Raw genomic sequence first — 16,536 nt, 5'->3', positions numbered from 1 at the left:
AGGCCACAGAAAGGCCCTGCTGTGGGACAGAGACTGAAGTCGGAGGCGATTGCCCAGGCCCCCTGCTTCAGTGAGATTTACACCCGGCTGTCGTATCCACACTCAGTGATTTCATAGCCTGCCTCCTGTCTGGCGCAGGAAGTTGCCCGGTGGCTCTTGGGAACTTTCCTGCTATTCCTCAGTTCGCAGTCTCCTCCCTCTCCAGCACTGTCAGCCTCTAGGCATGCCTAGAAGAGGACGCTTCACTCCCATTCCCCGTGCTCACTTAGTCAGTGTTGCTGATGCACTCAGGGCAGACTGCTGCATCTGCCTTTGGACAGGACTGTACTGTGAAGTCAGTTTCAGAAATGGCTTCTGTGCAATTCAAGGTGACTTTTTCTCTCTTGTTTGGATAAATGCTAAGTGGGACAAGTTAAGTGGATTATCTGGATCTGGCATTTGTTTCCTAGTCCTTAGAAGGGTTATCAAAATAGATGTTTTTGATAATGAAATATTACAATCAGTAGACTCTGGTGTTAATCCATGTTGGAACCTTTGTCAGATGCAAGTCAGAGAACACAAAGGGGTTTGGAGTCAGGCACATCCACTCCTAGGCAAAGAGCATTGAAAACATACATCCACACAAAACTTGTACGTGCCTGTTTGTGGCAGCATTTGTCATAAAAGCAAAACGTGAAAATAGCCAGCTCAAGTGTTTTTGTTTACCTATCCATCAGCTGATGGATAAAATGTGGTATATCCATACAGTGGAATACTACTCAGCCAGAAAAAGGAACAAAGTACTAATATATGTGAAAACATAGGTGAATATTTTAAAATATTATGCTAAGTGAAAGAAGCCAGACACAAAAGGCCCCATATTATGCAAATCTGTTTATATGATACATCCAGAATTGGTAAATCTGTAGAGATAGAAAGTAGATTAGTGGTTGTCAGAGGGGGTGGGGAGGGTAGGGAATGACTGCCAGTGGGTATGGAGTTGCTTTTTAGGGGTACATGGGAATATTCTGGCATTAAATAGTGCTGAAGGGAGATAGAAATATTCTGAAATGTAATAATGCTGATGGTTGTGATATATTTTAAAAACCCTGAATTGTATACTTTATTTTTTTGAAATGGAGTCTTGCGCTGTCGCTCAGGCTTGAGTGCAGTGGCACCATCTCGGCTCACTGCAACCTTCACCTCCTGGATTCAAGCGATTCTCCTGCCTCAGCCCCTTGAGTAGCTGGGATTACAGGTGTGCACCACCACGCCCGGCTAATTTTTTGTACTTTTTAGTAGGGACAGGGTTTCTCCATGTTGGTCAGGCTGGTCTCGAACTCCTGACCTCAGGCAGTCCTCCTGCCTCGGCCTCCCAAAGTGCTGGGATTATAGGCGTGAGCCACTGTGTCCAGCCTGAATTGTATACTTCAAATGGGTAAATTGCATGGTACATGAAGTATGTCTCAAAAAAGTAATAGTTAATAATGGGTCAGGCCGCACCCACTTGCACTCCTCTGTGATCCTCAGGCTTGGTGACTTTAACGAGGATTTTCCCACCTCCTGCCCTCCTCTTAGGTCAACAAGATACACACCTGTAGGGATGCGTGTTCCATTTGTGCCTGCCCCCACACCCGAATGCCCTTCCTGTCTGTGGAGAAGTTCTCATGTTATGAGTCCAGCCCATCTAAGGCACAGCCAGAGCTCATCCCTACCTCCAGAACCCACCCAGCCGGTGCCTGTGCTTTGTTCATTCAATAGAGCTTCATTTTTCATATTTTTTTATTTATCTGATTTATATTGAGCTCCTCCTCTGGGCTCTACACTGGTTTTCCTTGAAGGCTATTAACAACCTCTGTGCTCATAGTCAAAGAAAGAATTTCTCGGGTGTTAAGCAGAGAGGAGCTGTAACACAGAACCCCTGCTTGGTACCGTTCGCCCACCTTTTGTGGAGGACCCGCTTCAATCTCCGCACACTTTCGTCCGCAGTGCCTCCGCCGGTGGTTGTGTTGAGGACGTCTCCTGTCGGCTCCTGTGCTGTTCATTGCGTTTTCCTTGCAGATTTTTGTTGGTGATTAAGCAAGAGCACATTTATGAAGCGCCCCGTGTAGGGTCCTCTGTTTTATTAATGGAAGGGAATCAGTAAAGCAAGTTCATGTTCCTCCCCACTCTTAGTTTTACCAGAACTGCCACCTCTGCTGGCCAGGGAAAGGGCTGCCAGCTGTCCGCTTTGCCCCTTGGAGTTCAGAGGCTCTTCTGAACGCATGGGTCATGAGGAATGTGATTCTGGGGTTGGGTCTCTGATCCCTGTAACTGGCTGGTGTGACCTGCACCGCTGTGGCCTTGGCAACAATGGTGTCTCTTCAAAGGACTCCTGTCCCGCTGGCTATGCTTTCTGGCCCCTACTCACCCCACAGACAGCCCCAGCTCTCTGCGCTGGAAATCCCTGGCTTCCCAAGTTTTCTGTCCCTTCCCTGGGAAGCCTCAGTCCTTCTGAGTGGGTGGAGGCTGTGCAGGGCATTATTAGGTGACAGGCTTCCTCCTGCCTCTGAGGGCCCTTGGTTGGCTGAAGGTGTCTCGAGGGCATCGGCAGGTGGCTCTCCGGAGGCCGCTAAGTGCTCGGGCCTTCCTGGCCTGTGGCCGATCAAAGCACTGGCTCTTTTCCAAAGTCAAGCTGAAAGACAACTCTCCTTAACACCCCCGCCCCTTCTATAAGCTTCTCCCCCGTGCGTGTGCACACCAGAGGAGTGAGGAAGCCTCTCTCTCCCCATCATGAGAAGCAGGATCCTAAAGGAAAGGGTGCAGCTTTGATGCAAAGGGCCTGGTGTGAATCCTGCAGCTGCTGCTTGAGAATCAGGGTTCTTAACTGCCAGCAACAGAAATGGACTCTGGTCAACTTCAGCAGAACAGCAGGTGCCTGGGAAGGCTATCAGGCAGTTCAAGGAGCCACTCAGAGTCAGGATGGGGGTTCAGGAGGCTCGGCTACTGCCGGACCCAGCTGAGGTCACACCTGGATGCCTCCCGGTTCAGGTACACCCTTGGGGAGCTGCTCTGGGACCTGAGGCTACTTCTGCTCCACTCTTAATCCTGTTGCTGCTGCTACATATTGTTTTCACGGGTCCTTGGTGTCACTGCCGCTGAGCCCCGAGTGGAAACATCCAGGTGGCCAAGATCATGTGCCTGCGTTTTAGTCCACCAAGGACAGTGACAGAGGGGACAGGGAAGCTCTCCCCACAGCCAGTAAACCAGCCGGGACCCACATACCACCACTGCTGCGCACAGGAGGGAAATCGACCCCTCCCGCCGGGCCCCCACCCATGGGAAGGGGCGGAGACTGTGTGACCACACAAAGAAACTGGCAAAGATCTGCTGCTCCCTTTGATTGCAGGTGACCATTTGATCTCCGGGAGCCCTGGCTCCCTCGCTTGGAACAGGAGCCACAGCTGCCGCGTGGGATGATGGTAAGGGTTAAGCCCTCGGAATTTATGTTTAGTGCCTGGCATGATACTTGGCAGGTAGGAAGCTCTCAATTAACGCCCCGTTCTCGAGCTACACTTTGCAGCCCTTGACTGTTCCACTGAGAGCTCGGGGCTTCCTTCTCCAGCGTGCTCCGCGCACACCCCTGCCTCTGAAGGCATCATTATGTGATTATATGGATACATTGTGATTACAGGTTAGCCTTAACCAGGCTTTTATACATTGAGACACTTACAGGCTTGCATTTTAGTTCAGTCTGGAGTGGGCTTTCTGGTACTTTAAAGTGTATCATGAGCCCTCCTTCTTCGTTCTGTGTATTTTCGTCTATACTTAATAGCTGTTCTCTGAGGCCGCATTCTCTGGGTCTGTGGTTGATCTTTTTAATACATGTCAGGAATTACCAGCCCTCCCACTCATGCTACGGGCTCCTTTTATAACTCCTCTTGTGGACTCTGCATTTTGAAAGGTTTTATATGTCAAAATATATACTACTCAGAAATCATTAATTCACTGCTCCTGGACAGTAGGGGAGCCTGGCCAGCCCCGACTCCCAGAGGAACGCACCAAGCACAGTGCCAAGCCCACACTGGATACTCAATAAACATTTTCTTGGCAAATGAGAGAACAAAGAACCTGGGGCCCCAGGATGTTCAATGTCTTAGCCTGAGTGCACAGCTGACAAATGGCAGGGCTGCCAGGTCTGCAGGTCCCCACCTGCCGAGTGTGGGGTCTTCCCACTTCCGACCCTGGTGAGGGCCCTGCACCGGGAGGAGGTTGGATTGGGTGGACTCTGGATGCCTGTGCATGGCCTGGAGTTTTCAGACTTCCAGGCAGGAGGCAGCCCAGGCACACCTCACGCCACGCTAGATTCCACAAAGCCACTGAAACTACCAAAAGGACACACTGGGGTACGCCTACTCCACATCCAGGGGGTCTCCGCAGGGTTTGGTGTGGATCCAACAGTGGAAGGAGGCCAGGAGAGAGCTATAGTCTGACCTTCACCTGCAACCCCAATGGGATGCATGATGAAGAGACACCTCCCTCGGATTCTATCATGCCCCTGGACCCCAGCATGAGGACCCCTCTCCAGGGGAGGGGGCTTAGTGAGTTCATGCATGAAACATGCTGTGAGTGTTGCCACTTGAGGACCTGGCCCTGAGCTCCAGCTTGCTGCTCCCAACCATGGTGGCTGGTGGGGAGCTTTCCTTGGTTGAATTTTATACTCCTCCCATACAGGGGTCCTCATGGGATTCAGTAATGTGTCTGAAGCACTGCATGGAAGAGGCTGTGGGGAGAGAGCTGCCTTGGTGGTGGGTGGTGGCTGCGGCGGTGGTGCTTGGTGGTGGTGGTGGGTAGTGGTGGCGGTGCTTGGTGGTGGTGGTGGTGGTGCTTGGTGCCGGTGGTGGGTGGTGGTGGTGGGTGGTGGTGGTTGTGTGTGGTGGTGGTGCTTGGTGGCGGTGGTGGGTGGTGGCGGTGGTGCTTGGTGGCGGTGGTGGGTGGTGGTGGTTGTGTGTGGTGGTGGTGCTTGGTGGCGGTGGTGGGTGGTGGCGGTGGTGCTTGGTGGCGGTGGTGGGTGGTGGTGGTTGTGTGTGGTGGCGGTGGTGGGTGGTAGTGGTTGTGTGTGTGGTGGTGGTGTTTGGTGGTGGTGGTGAGTGGTGGTGGTGGTGAGTGGTGGTGATGGTGCTTGGTGGCGGTGGTGGGTGGTGGTGGTTGTGTGTGTGGTGGTGGTGTTTGGTGGTGGTGGTGAGTGGTGGTGGTGGTGCTTGGTGGCGGTGGTGGTGGTGCTTGGTGGCGGTGGTGGGTGGTGGTGGTTGTGTGTGGTGGCGGTGGTGGGTGGTGGTGGTTGTGTGTGTGGTGGTGGTGTTTGGTGGTGGTGGTGGGTGGTGGTGATGGTGCTTGGTGGTGGGTGGTGGCGGTGGTGCTTGGTGGCGGTGGTGGGTGGTGGTGGTGGTGCTTGGTGGTGGTGGTGGGTGGTGGTGGGTGTGTGTGTGGTGGTGGTGTTTGGTGGTGGTGGTGAGTGGTGGTGGTGGTGCGTCGTGGTGGTGGCGGCGGTGCTTGATGGAGGTGGCGTGTGGTGGCGGCGATGGATAGTGGTGGTGGTGCTGTGAGAGCAGTGGTTGTTGTGTTGTTTGCAGACTTGAGGGATTCACTGGAGAAAGGTGATTGGGGACCATCTTTCTTCATCTGTGGTAAACTCCGTTGAAAGTTCAAATGACACATTTAGACGTCATTTATTTCAGACTACTGCCAAAGTGACTGAAATAAAAATCCCAGCCACAGCCCGGTCCTCTTGGGGAAGTGGTAAAGTGGAGCAGCAGATTCTGAGAAAAGAAACTAGACAGCGTGATGCATCTATCTCAAGAAATAGCCCTGCCTTCCAGTGACTCCGGGGAACAGCCACATATCGCCTTTGAGAAAAATGGGTTTGAAGTTCTCTGGAAAACCTTCTGCCAGTAAACTGGGAAGGAAGTGAACATTTGTTGATGGGCTGATATGTGCAAGTGATAGGCAGAACATGAGACATGAGGTGTTGGTATCCAGCTGTGTTTGGGGTCTGTGTGTGCACACCCTCCAACTGTGGGCTTATGGTCTGACTGCCTGCACAGAGAGCGGTGCTGGGCCTGAGGCTTCCCTGCAGTTGCACTGTCTGGAGGGTGGGCTCCCGCATGAGGTGGCTGTGTCCCCTGGCACTGTGTGTGGTTCATCAGAGGCAGGAGCACCTGTATCCCTTCTCCTAGGCAGTGGCAGAGTCAAATTTCTGCCCACGGGGCTGGAGGGCAGGGCAGGCTGCAGGACTCGCCGCTCTAGAGTTTCCAACGGACGTTGCCTTCCTGAGAGGCTGTGAGCCTGATGAGAGCCTGTGACACACACACACTCAACAGCACACAGACATACACCTTCACATACACATTCACACATGGATGCACACACAATGACATACACAACGCGCACACAGCACACTCACACGACGGCACACAGACACACCTTCACATACACATTCACGCATGGATGCACACACAATGACATACACAACAAGCACGCAGCACAGTCACACGACGGCACACAGACACCTTCACATACACACACGTTCATCTACGGATGCACACACAACATACACTGACATACATAACACGCACACAATGCACTCACACAACAGCACACATCTTCACATACACATTCACACATGGAGGCACACAACACACACCGACATACACAACATGCACACAGAGCACTCATACAACAGCACACACACACGCACCTTCAGATACGGATGCACACGTGACACATACACTTCACATTCCACACCCCGCTAATGCCTACACTGCAAAGCTTCAATTCTCAAATCAGAGCCTAGAGGCACTGACAGTCACTTTTTCCAAACAGAATGTTCCACATAGAAAGCATTCCCATCATCGTCAGCAATGAATACTAGTTGATCTCTTGCCCGTAAAAGAGAGTATTACTCAACTTTGCACTACTGGACTAACATAAGCACCTTACAGGATTTGAAAGCTTGCGATCACTATGATATTTCATCCTCACAGCGATCCTGTGAACGGTTTAGTAGCAACCTCATTTCAAAGTTGAAGGAACTGAGTCAGAGGGCCAAGGGATGCCTGAGTCCTCACTGGGTGGTGCTGGGAGCCAGGGTGGGAAGCCCACTCCTCTGACTGCACTTCTCCTCCACTGCCCCAGGGACCCCTCCCATAGCCAGGATCTCAGATCATTGAGGGACCCTTTTCTCCCAAACACAGCTCCTCTCCTTGTCTCCCCTCCACCCCTAGTGAAAAGCCAGTCCCCGTGGGGCCAGCAAAGCGGAGGTGTGAGAGCAGGAACCCATGGCCTCATTTTCTTGCTGGTCTCTCCTGCGCCATGATCAGGTGGGCAGTCTTCACTCCAAGTACATTTGTGCAGGGCCAGATTCTCCACCCTGCTTGCTCCCCGCCTGGCACAGAGGGTGTGCTCAGGTGACCCATGCCGTTCTGTACTGGGTTGCGTGGGACAACAGGGAGTGGAGAGGAGGGAAGAGGAATGGGCTAGAGGAAGAAGCCCAGAGCTAGAAAATCAAGCTCCAGCCAATTCCTGGGAGACACAGCACCTTGAGTGAGCTCTGCTAAGAGCACCTGGGTGGGGAAGATTTTCTGGAGCCCCAGGAGAGGTCCAGGAACCATGTCCACAGGCCTCAGAGACTCCCTGGCGGATTCTGCAGGCCCAGTCCTGGATTAGGAGGTTACCGAGAGGCGCAGATTGTTGACAGGCAGACCACTGCTTCAGGGTTTGCATGCTCCGCAAATCCCATTTATTAGCTAATTGGCGCTTGAGAGGTTTCAGGATAAAGAACAGATTGGAAGAAAGGAGGTAACACAGCATAACTGACGCAGAGGAGTTCGTGCGGATTCCTGGCAGGTCCCGTCTGCGACTGTGCAGTTGAAACCCAGAACTGTAAAAGCCACAGTGCCTCCTGGCTGGAACAGGAATCCCGGTTGATAACCGTACCCCACCCCCCACTTTCGCATCCCAGCACCCCATTATAGGTTACAGCTCCTGGCATTTTCACTGCCTCTGCTTCACTCACATAACAGTGGACACAGCCAAGGGAAGGGGGGCGGGGCAGGAGCTCCAGCCACCATGCCTCCTTGGGGGCCAGGTGTCCCTCTCCATAGGCATGGGCTCCCTGGGCCCCAGATTCCTGCCACACCCACGCACCACTCACTGGTAAGCCCTGATGCCTGCGGCTTTGCTCCTGGTGAGCACCCTGGCTCAGGAGGTGTCCGGGCTGGGATGCTGGGGTGTGTGGCCCAATGTGAGCAGGAGGCATGAACTATGTCACTTTCAGGAGGATGCATCTAAGCAGGGAGGCCACCAGCCAAGTCTCCCCAGGAAGAGGAAGGCATTGTGTGGTCTGTCCCCACCCTCATTCCTCTGGCACCTCACACTTGTCCCTGTGGAGATACCCATCCTATCAACGGACAGCTGCTGGTGGGAGGGAAGATACAGGAGGGAGGGAAGATACCAGAGGGAGGGAAGATACTGGAGGGAGGGAAGATACTGGAGGGAGGGAAGGTGCCGGAGGGAGGGAAGGTACCGGAGGGAGGGAAGATGCCGGAGGGAGGGAAGGTGCCAGAGCGGGGGAAGATGCCGGAGGGAGGGAAGGTACAGGTACCGGATGGAGGGAAGGTGCCGGAGGGAGGGAAGGTACCGGAGGGAGGGAAGGTACCGGAGGGCGGGAAGATACCAGAGGGAGGGAGATACCGGAGGGAGGGAAGGTACAGGTACCGGACGGAGGGAAGGTGCTGGAGGGAGGGAAGGTAAAGATACCGGACGGAGGGAAGGTGCCGGAGGGAGGGAAGATACCAGAGAGAGGGAAGATACTGGAGGGAGGGAAGAGTGTGGTTTCAGACAGCTCTCCTGGGCTCCAGTCCCTGCCCTGCCATGGACCAGCTCTGGGACCTCAAGCCAGCGACTGAATGTCTTGGAGTCCCGTCTCCATACAGATGAAAAACCTGCCTTCTGGGGCAGTGGTAGTGGCCGCCTCGGGAACAGCTGTCAGTTCCTTCCCGGGAGGGGCACTTGCTCTTTCTGGGAGCTGCACATCTCACTGCCCCTCAGCTTTGGGACAGGCGACCCAGAAAGCAGCTGGTCTTTCCGAATTGTCTTCCTGCCTCTGCACGGACCCACCAGAAACCCTGCTCTTGGCCCCTCAGTGTGGACACGTGTGTCCTCTTCCAACAGCTCAGTCTCACTGGGTCTCTGGGGCACATGCTCCCAGGATGGCAGCTCTGGTCACCCACTTCCCTGGCCCTGTTGGCTGAGTTCTTGGGCCTGACTGCTTCTCAGGCCTTGGCCAGCCACAGAATGCTGTCCTGGCATAGGTGGCTACCACATGTGTAGTCAGCATGGCACAGGTGACAGGTCTCACAGCACCACACAGCACAGCGGGCTGGGGACCTCAGCCAAAGGCGCCCCAGCGGCAGGAGCGCAGTCTGGCCCGTCCAGTACAATGCCCTCTCCGTCTTTTGGCACCTGGCCAGCTGCTAGCAAGCGTAGGTGTTTTGTGGCATCTGTTTGCTGTGCCTTCCATGCGTCTGTGGAATCTGACTGCCTCTGGAGCTAGTCCTGCCCTTTGTCCATCTCCGTGTCTGTCTCAGCTGCTGCCCTCTGGGCCCCGCATCACTTCCCTCTCGTGATTAGTTTCCTTGCCTGTCTTTCCCCATCGGCCTGAGAAGCCCTTGAGGACAGCAGTTCTGTTGTATTTGCCTCAGTGGCCCCATGCTCGGCACAGTGTGGGGCTCTGAAAAGGGGGACGAGCCCCAGCCCGTGGGACTGCAGGGCCTTTCCCAAGGCTGCCCAGCCCCGCTCCTTCCCCTGCCAGGCCGGGGTAGGACATTCTTCCTGTTACTGCTCTAAGAGCTCATGGGAGCTCTTCCGTGCTCCTTGCCCACGGACTGAGTGTGGACAGTTGGAGACAGGGCACGGAATTTTCATGGGGGGTGATGTGGAATTGGGGATACAGGGTCTGATGGAACCCTGTGAGACTGGATAGCAAATGCAGTCTGAGGAAGCCAGACCCTCGTGGGAGCCAGCAGTGGACTGATGGCTTCAGTGGGTGATTCAGAGAGGGTAAGGGCTGGCCCCTCCATGGATGTGGTTTTGGGGATGCCATGTGTCTACAGGGTTATCCTCATCTGCACAAGAAGCAGTGTGGTCAGTGGAAAAATGGCCTCCAAAAGATAGGCATGTCCTCATCTCTGGATCGTGTGCATGTTACCTGATAGTGCAAAAAAGGTTGGGGTGGATCTTTGCAGATGTGATCAAGGAATTCAGGATGGGTGGATTATCCCGGATTACATGGGTGGGCTATGTATTAGTCCATTCTCTCACTGCTATTAGAAAAAAAAAATGATAGGTTTTCTTGCTATCATGAGAACAGTACCAAAAGGGAAGATCTACCCGCAGGATCCTATTACCTCCCACCAGGCCCCACCTCCAGCATTAGGGATTACAAACTCAACATGAGATTTGAGCGGGGACACAGATCCAAACCATCCCAGGCTCTAAACACCATCATCACATGCATTTTTCTAAGAGGGAGATGGGGGATTTTACCCATGGAAGAGTAGGAGGCCACGATTGGAGTGATGTGGTTACAAACCAAGGAATTCCAGTGGCCCCGAAAAGCTTGAGAAAACAGGGAACAGAATCTCCGCCAGAAAAAGTACAGCCCCGCCGACACCTTGACTCGGCCCGGTGGTTCTGATTTCAGACTTCTGGCCTCCAGAACTGTAAGAGAATACATTTCTGTTGTTTTAAGCCCCCAAGTTTGTGGTAATTTGTTATAGCAGGAACTGATGCAAGAGTATTTCTCAGATCTGGTTATGTGTTCCCAGATAAACTCAGGGAAGTGTTGGCTAGGACCCTGAGCTTCAGAAGAGAACCACTGGCATACCAGCTCTTCCCCAGGGGACCGTATTTACGCTCTTGACAGAGCTGACCTCTTTCAAAGCACAGATCCTGAGAAAGCCACACCTTGGGCCACACCCTGTCCAGACCTCCCCAGTGCCCCTGTCTTTGAAAAAACCAAACAAGCAAGCAGTCTCTGGAGCAGTCACAGCCATTGCTCAGGTCCCCGTCTTCTCATCCTGGGTTACACATCAACCCCCTTCTGATTTCAATGTCCCCAGTATCTCCAGAATCTTCTCTTTAGGGTGCTAAAGTAGTATTTCTAAATCACAGCTCTGTTTAAAAGTCTCTATTGCCGTGCAAGATTGGTATACAAAAATCAATTGTGTTTATATACACCAGCAGTGAACAATCCAAACATGATATTAAGAAACTTCCATCTACAATAGCAGCAGAAAAGAATAAAATACTAAAGAGTACATTTAACATAAAAAGAGCATAGCATGTACACTGAAAATTACAAAACATTGTTAAAAGAAATTAAAGACATTTTAAAAAACCCAAATAAATAGACACCCTGTGTTCATGGATTGGAAGACTTAATTTTGTTAAGATGGCAACACTCCTCAAATTGATCCACAGATTCAACACAATCTCTGTCAAAATCCCAGCTGGCTTCTTGGTAGAAAGTGACAAGCTGCTGATCCTAAAATTCATATGGAAATTCAAGGAACTCAGAATAGCAAAAATAATCTTGAAAAAGAAGAACGAAGTTGGACAACTCACACTTCCCAATTTCAAAAGTTACTACAAAGCTGCAATAATCAAGACAATGTGGTGCTGGCATAAGGATGGACGTACAGATCAACAGACTGAAATCGAGTGTCTAGAAACCAACCCTTGCATTTACGGCCAAGCGATTTTCAACAAGGCTGCCAAACAGTTCAATAGAGAAAGAATCAGATTTTCAACAAATGGTGCTTGAATAACCAGAGATCCTTATGCAAAAGAATGAAGTTGATCAAATATCTAACTATGACAGCTAAAACTATAAAACTCTTAGGAGAAAACACAGAATTCTTCCATGGCCTCAATTTGGCAATGGTTTCCTAGGTAGGGCACAAGAAGTGCAAGCAGAAAATAAATAAATAAATATAGCCAGGTGCTGTGGCTCATGGCTGTAATCCCAGCACTGTGGGAGGTTTAGGTAGGCCAATCACCTGAGGTCAGGAGTTTGAGATCAGCCTGGCCAACATGGTGAAACCCTGTCTCTACTAAAAAGTCAAAAATTCCCAGGGCATGATGGCGGGTGCCTGTAATCCCAGCTCTTTGGGAGGCTGAGGCAGGAGAATTGCTTGAACCCGGGAGGCGGAAGTCGCAGTGAGCCAAGATCACGCCACTGCACTCCAGCCTGGGCGACAGACCAAGACTCCATCTCAAAAAAATAAATAAATTGGACTTCATCAAAATTAAAAACATGTGTGTTTCTAAGAACACCACCAAGAAAGTGAAAAGACAACACACCGGATGGATTAAAATATTTGCAAACCATATATCTGATAAGGGACTGGTATCCAGAATATACGAAGACCTCTTTCGACTCAACAGTAAAAAAGACAAATAACCCAATTTAAAAACGGGCAAGGACTTGAATAGAAATTTTTTCAAAGAGCAATATAAATGGCCAAGCAGCCACGAAAAGATGCCAAGCATTATTCATTAGTCATTTGGGAAATGCAAATCAAAACCACAATGAGATACTGCTTTTCACCAGCTAGGATGGCTAGAATCAAAAAGACGGATAGTAACAAGTGTTGCTGAGGATGTGGAGAAACTGGAACCCTCCCACTGCTGGTGGGAATGTAATAGTGCAGCCACTTTGGAAGACAGTCTAGCAGTTCCTCACAAAGTTAAACATAAAGTTACCGTATGACCCAGAACTTCTACTTCTGGATATATACCCAGGAGAATATATGTTCACACAAAAACTTGTACACAAACCTTCATAGCACCGTTGTTCATAATAACCAAAGAGTGAAAATAACACAAATGCTCATCAGCTGCTGAATGGATAAACAAAATGTGGCATAGCCATAACATGGAATATTATTCAGCTCTGAAAAGGAATGAAGTGCTGACACATGCTATAACATGGATGAACCATGAAAACATTATGCTAAGTGAAAAACGCCAGGCACAGAAGGCCACATAGTGTATGATTCCATTTATTTGAAATGTCCAGAATTGACAAATTCGTAGACACATGCATTCAAGGAGTGGTTGCTGGCTGGTGGGGATGGGGAGGCGTCTGATGCATCATTGGATCAGGGTCTCTGGGCGGGAACCAACTACCTACCAGGTAAAGTGAGGTCAGCTCCTCCCCCTTTGCTGGTGAGCCCAGTATCACTGAGTGACCTGCCTAGGCCCTCAGATAGGGCAGAGCAGGGCTCTGCTTAAATGGACTGAGTTATATGAATATGTTTGTGAACAGCGCCGAAGGGAAGCCTCTTAAGCAAAATCACCTCCTCCTCCTCATCCTTCTCCTCCTCCTCCTCCTCTTCCTCCTCCTCTTCCTCCTCCTTCTCCTCTTCCTCCTCCCTCCTCCTCTTCCTCCTCCTCTTCCTCCTCCTTCTCCTCTTCCTCCTCCTCTTCTTCCTCTTCCTCCTCCTTCTCCTCTTCCTCCTCCTCTTCCTCCTCCTCATCCTCCTCTTCCTCCACCAAACCCATTTCATGCTCTTACCAAGGGTGCGAGATTCTTAAAGACAGCAATTTGAGTTTGGCCGCCTTCTCCTGTGTTGTGTTTGTTCAGTGAACGTTCACCGTGGGCTAATGACCCTGTGCATTCACGCACTGGGATCCAGTTCCCTCCGTGTGCCATTTTGAGGATCCATCTCCAGGTGGTAATTGGCTTGTGCGCAGCTGATTTTCTGTCCCAGAGGTCCGCCTCCCACCCCTCACGCTCACTGGCCCAGGAGAGCATCATGACATCAGATTGTTTCCCAACACTTTAATTGCGTACTCTGGGTTTCAGGTTAGTTTGCGGATTATCTTTCAGATAATTGAAAAGGATGCTTTCAGATGCCAAATGATGACTGTAAGTACTCATCAAAGTGTCCGCTTACTGATGACTTCACTTCTCCCCGCCGCCCCCACCCCCTCCCTGCCCAGCTTTGATTACAGATCCTATCAGCTGCATTGCCTAGCAATTAAGCCATGTGTGGCTCAGGGGAAAAGCTGTGTTTGAATCACACAAACACAGGCTGCAAGTGGTGGAAGGGTCCCTGGGGATCATCTGGTCCGACTCATCTCACAGGCAGTGTTCTGAGATCTCTGTGTCCAGGAGAAGTGTGGCATCTTCCCGAAGGGCCCATGGGGAATTAACTGCAAACACGGGATGGCTGCCTGGCTCTCCTGACTTCTCGGCAGTGCGCTTCCTCTCACCGTAATTGTCTGATAAATGGGGTTGTGGGCACAATGCAAACCTTGCAGAGAAGAACAGGCTCTGTGCTGGAGCCAGGACACCTGGGCCCCCGGGCCTTCCCCAGCAGGGCCCATGGGGGACCTGGGCTGGCAGTGAAATCAGTTTTTGTGCCTGCCCGTTGTCTTTGGTCTCCCTTCAAGACCCTGATAAGTTATTTTTTCTTGGGGAGTTGAGAGGCCTAAGCAAGCTAAGGGATGAGAAATAACTGGGACGTAGTAAGTGCTTAATGAATGCTGGTTCTTGTCTTTTTATTCCCTGCGTTCTCCTCACCCCAGGTTTAGGAAAGGAGCTGGATCTGTGTTGGTCCATGGACCTGATGTCAGGTGACTCAGGATGGCACAGCCTCTGCCACGTGAATGGCCTTAAAAGTCCAATGACTTCTGGGCCATCCACTGCTACTTGTGCAGAATGGTAGGCGACTCCCACAGGCTGGCTTGTATGGTTGGATTGCTGTCTTTACTGAGCACTCGTCCTCGCCAGCCCCTCTGAGGATGGCAGGGACCAGCATAGCCTCAGGCACCAAGAACTCCCAGGCAGAAGCACTGGGTCCCCAGCAGTGCTCCTGGAGAGGGAGTGCCAGGAACGGGAGCCAAGAGGATGGCCAGGTCATGGCCCTGCCCTGGGGGAGCACACAGTTGCTGGGCAGGGTTCACACCTGGCTTTCCCTAAGTGTGTCCCTGAAGTGGGCCCAGCGTCTGTTGTGGAAATGCCAGCACCTCAGCTCAACTGAGGCTCCCAGGAGTCCCTGCCTAACGAAACCGCTCCCCTTTGGTAAGCGAGAATGCCTCCATTTGGCCTTGGAGTCCCCTTTTTCTGGCACACCTGTCTATGGACAGCGACATCTGGAAACGGCCTGAGATGGGGTGGTAATTTGAGATGTCTGCAGGCGAGTACCTGAGGTTCAGCTAGAGGACAAGTGCGGGCAGCTTCTGAGGAGGAGAGGAGGCCCTGTTTGACCCCACGGCACATCGTTAGGGGACCACCAAGGTCACAGAGCCAGGCAGGATTCTTGGTGCTGGGACCACAGTGGGAGCCAGGCCTCTGCTCTCAGGAGCTCCTGGGGCAGGTGGCACGGGGCAGGCGTGAGCCGCATGGGTGGGGTCTGCCCAGCGACGCTCAGAGCCATGAAGAACAGCAGAGCAGGGTGGGGGACAGGAGTAGTGGGGCAGGAAGGGGGTCAGCAGGGGAGGCCTCTCCCAAGAGACCTGCAGGGGTGACGGGGAGGAGCCTGTGGCTGAAGCCCCAAGCATGCAGAGGCCGTGTCGGGAGGTGCTGTGGCCAGTGGGGTGGAGCTGGGAGCTCAAGTCGTAGGGATGATGGGAGAGGAGGACATGTGGCCCTGCAGTCCTGGGAGAGACTTTCCATTTTATTTCAAATATCACTCCCTCCTTCATTCCGACTCAGGTTAGTGAGTGAACTGCCCTTTTTCCACTGTCTGGAGCTGCTCAAGTTGGATGTGGATCTGGGTCTCCATGTGGATCTGGGCTGACTTGTGTACCACCCACGGTGTACCGTACCACCTCTCTAAACAGCCACAGCCTCTGAACCCAGGCCACCCCTAGCGACTTCAGCCCTCAGGGAAGCTGTGTCTCCTTCAGCTGAGGCTCCTGAGCTCTGCACTAGGGTGCAGAGATGACTAAGTCTCTATCCAGTCTTCGGCACTCTCAGTCCATGGTGGCACAAACAGGTGACTGTCAGCAACAGTCCAGGCCCCAGGTCAGCGCAAGGCACAGTGGGCTCCCAGGGGCCAGGCGGCAGGTGGCGGGCAGGAGCCTGTGAAGGCTGGAGAAGGTTTCCTTGAAGAAATGCTGCTGGGGTGGAGCCCTGTGGGCTGAACAGGAGTCCCCTGATGAGTGACAGACCTGCAGTCTCCTGCAAAGACTGGCATCAAGTAGTGCAGGGCACACCCATGAGCTGGAGTGGGCACAGCCGGGGTGGGCACTTTGCGTGGATGGAACACACAGGGAAAGGAGTCTGGTTGGGACAGAGGGGTCCTGGAAGAGAAGGCTGCAGAGGAGGGGACAGCCGAGTCCCCTGGTTTAGTCCTGACAGCGACTCCAAGAAGAAATGTAGGCTCCGAGAGATGAAGCACCTTGCCCAGTGCATGCAGCTTAGTAAGTGGCAGAGGCTGGATGTGAGCACAGCATTCCTCCCTGGCAGCTGGGCCGCCTTGGACCCCTGGCTGGGTGCGCATCTCA

General features: G+C 52.4%; 1 protein-coding gene across 11 annotated transcripts in view; it reads left to right on the top strand.

Annotated features, from left to right (window-relative positions):
• Positions 1-16,536, top strand: part of TRAPPC9 (trafficking protein particle complex subunit 9) — a 730,855-nt gene that overhangs the window by 649,007 nt on the left and 65,312 nt on the right. The window contains exons 22-23 of one of the 11 annotated variants that reach the window (XM_047422295.1): positions 3,368-3,440; positions 5,697-5,930. The exons of 9 other annotated variants lie outside the window; for them this stretch is intronic. In XM_047422295.1, the coding sequence (XP_047278251.1) occupies positions 3,368-3,438 (71 nt within the window). In that variant the 3' untranslated portion in view covers positions 3,439-3,440; positions 5,697-5,930. Of the gene's footprint in view, positions 1-3,367; positions 3,441-5,696; positions 5,931-16,536 lie in introns of those variants that run through there. One more of the 11 variants, NR_164662.1, reaches the window with a different exon arrangement.

This window comes from Homo sapiens, chromosome 8, assembly GCF_000001405.40.
Source record: "Homo sapiens chromosome 8, GRCh38.p14 Primary Assembly".
In the NCBI taxonomy this organism is placed as follows: Eukaryota; Metazoa; Chordata; class Mammalia; order Primates; family Hominidae; genus Homo; species Homo sapiens.
This window is presented reverse-complemented; position numbering and strand designations above follow the sequence as displayed.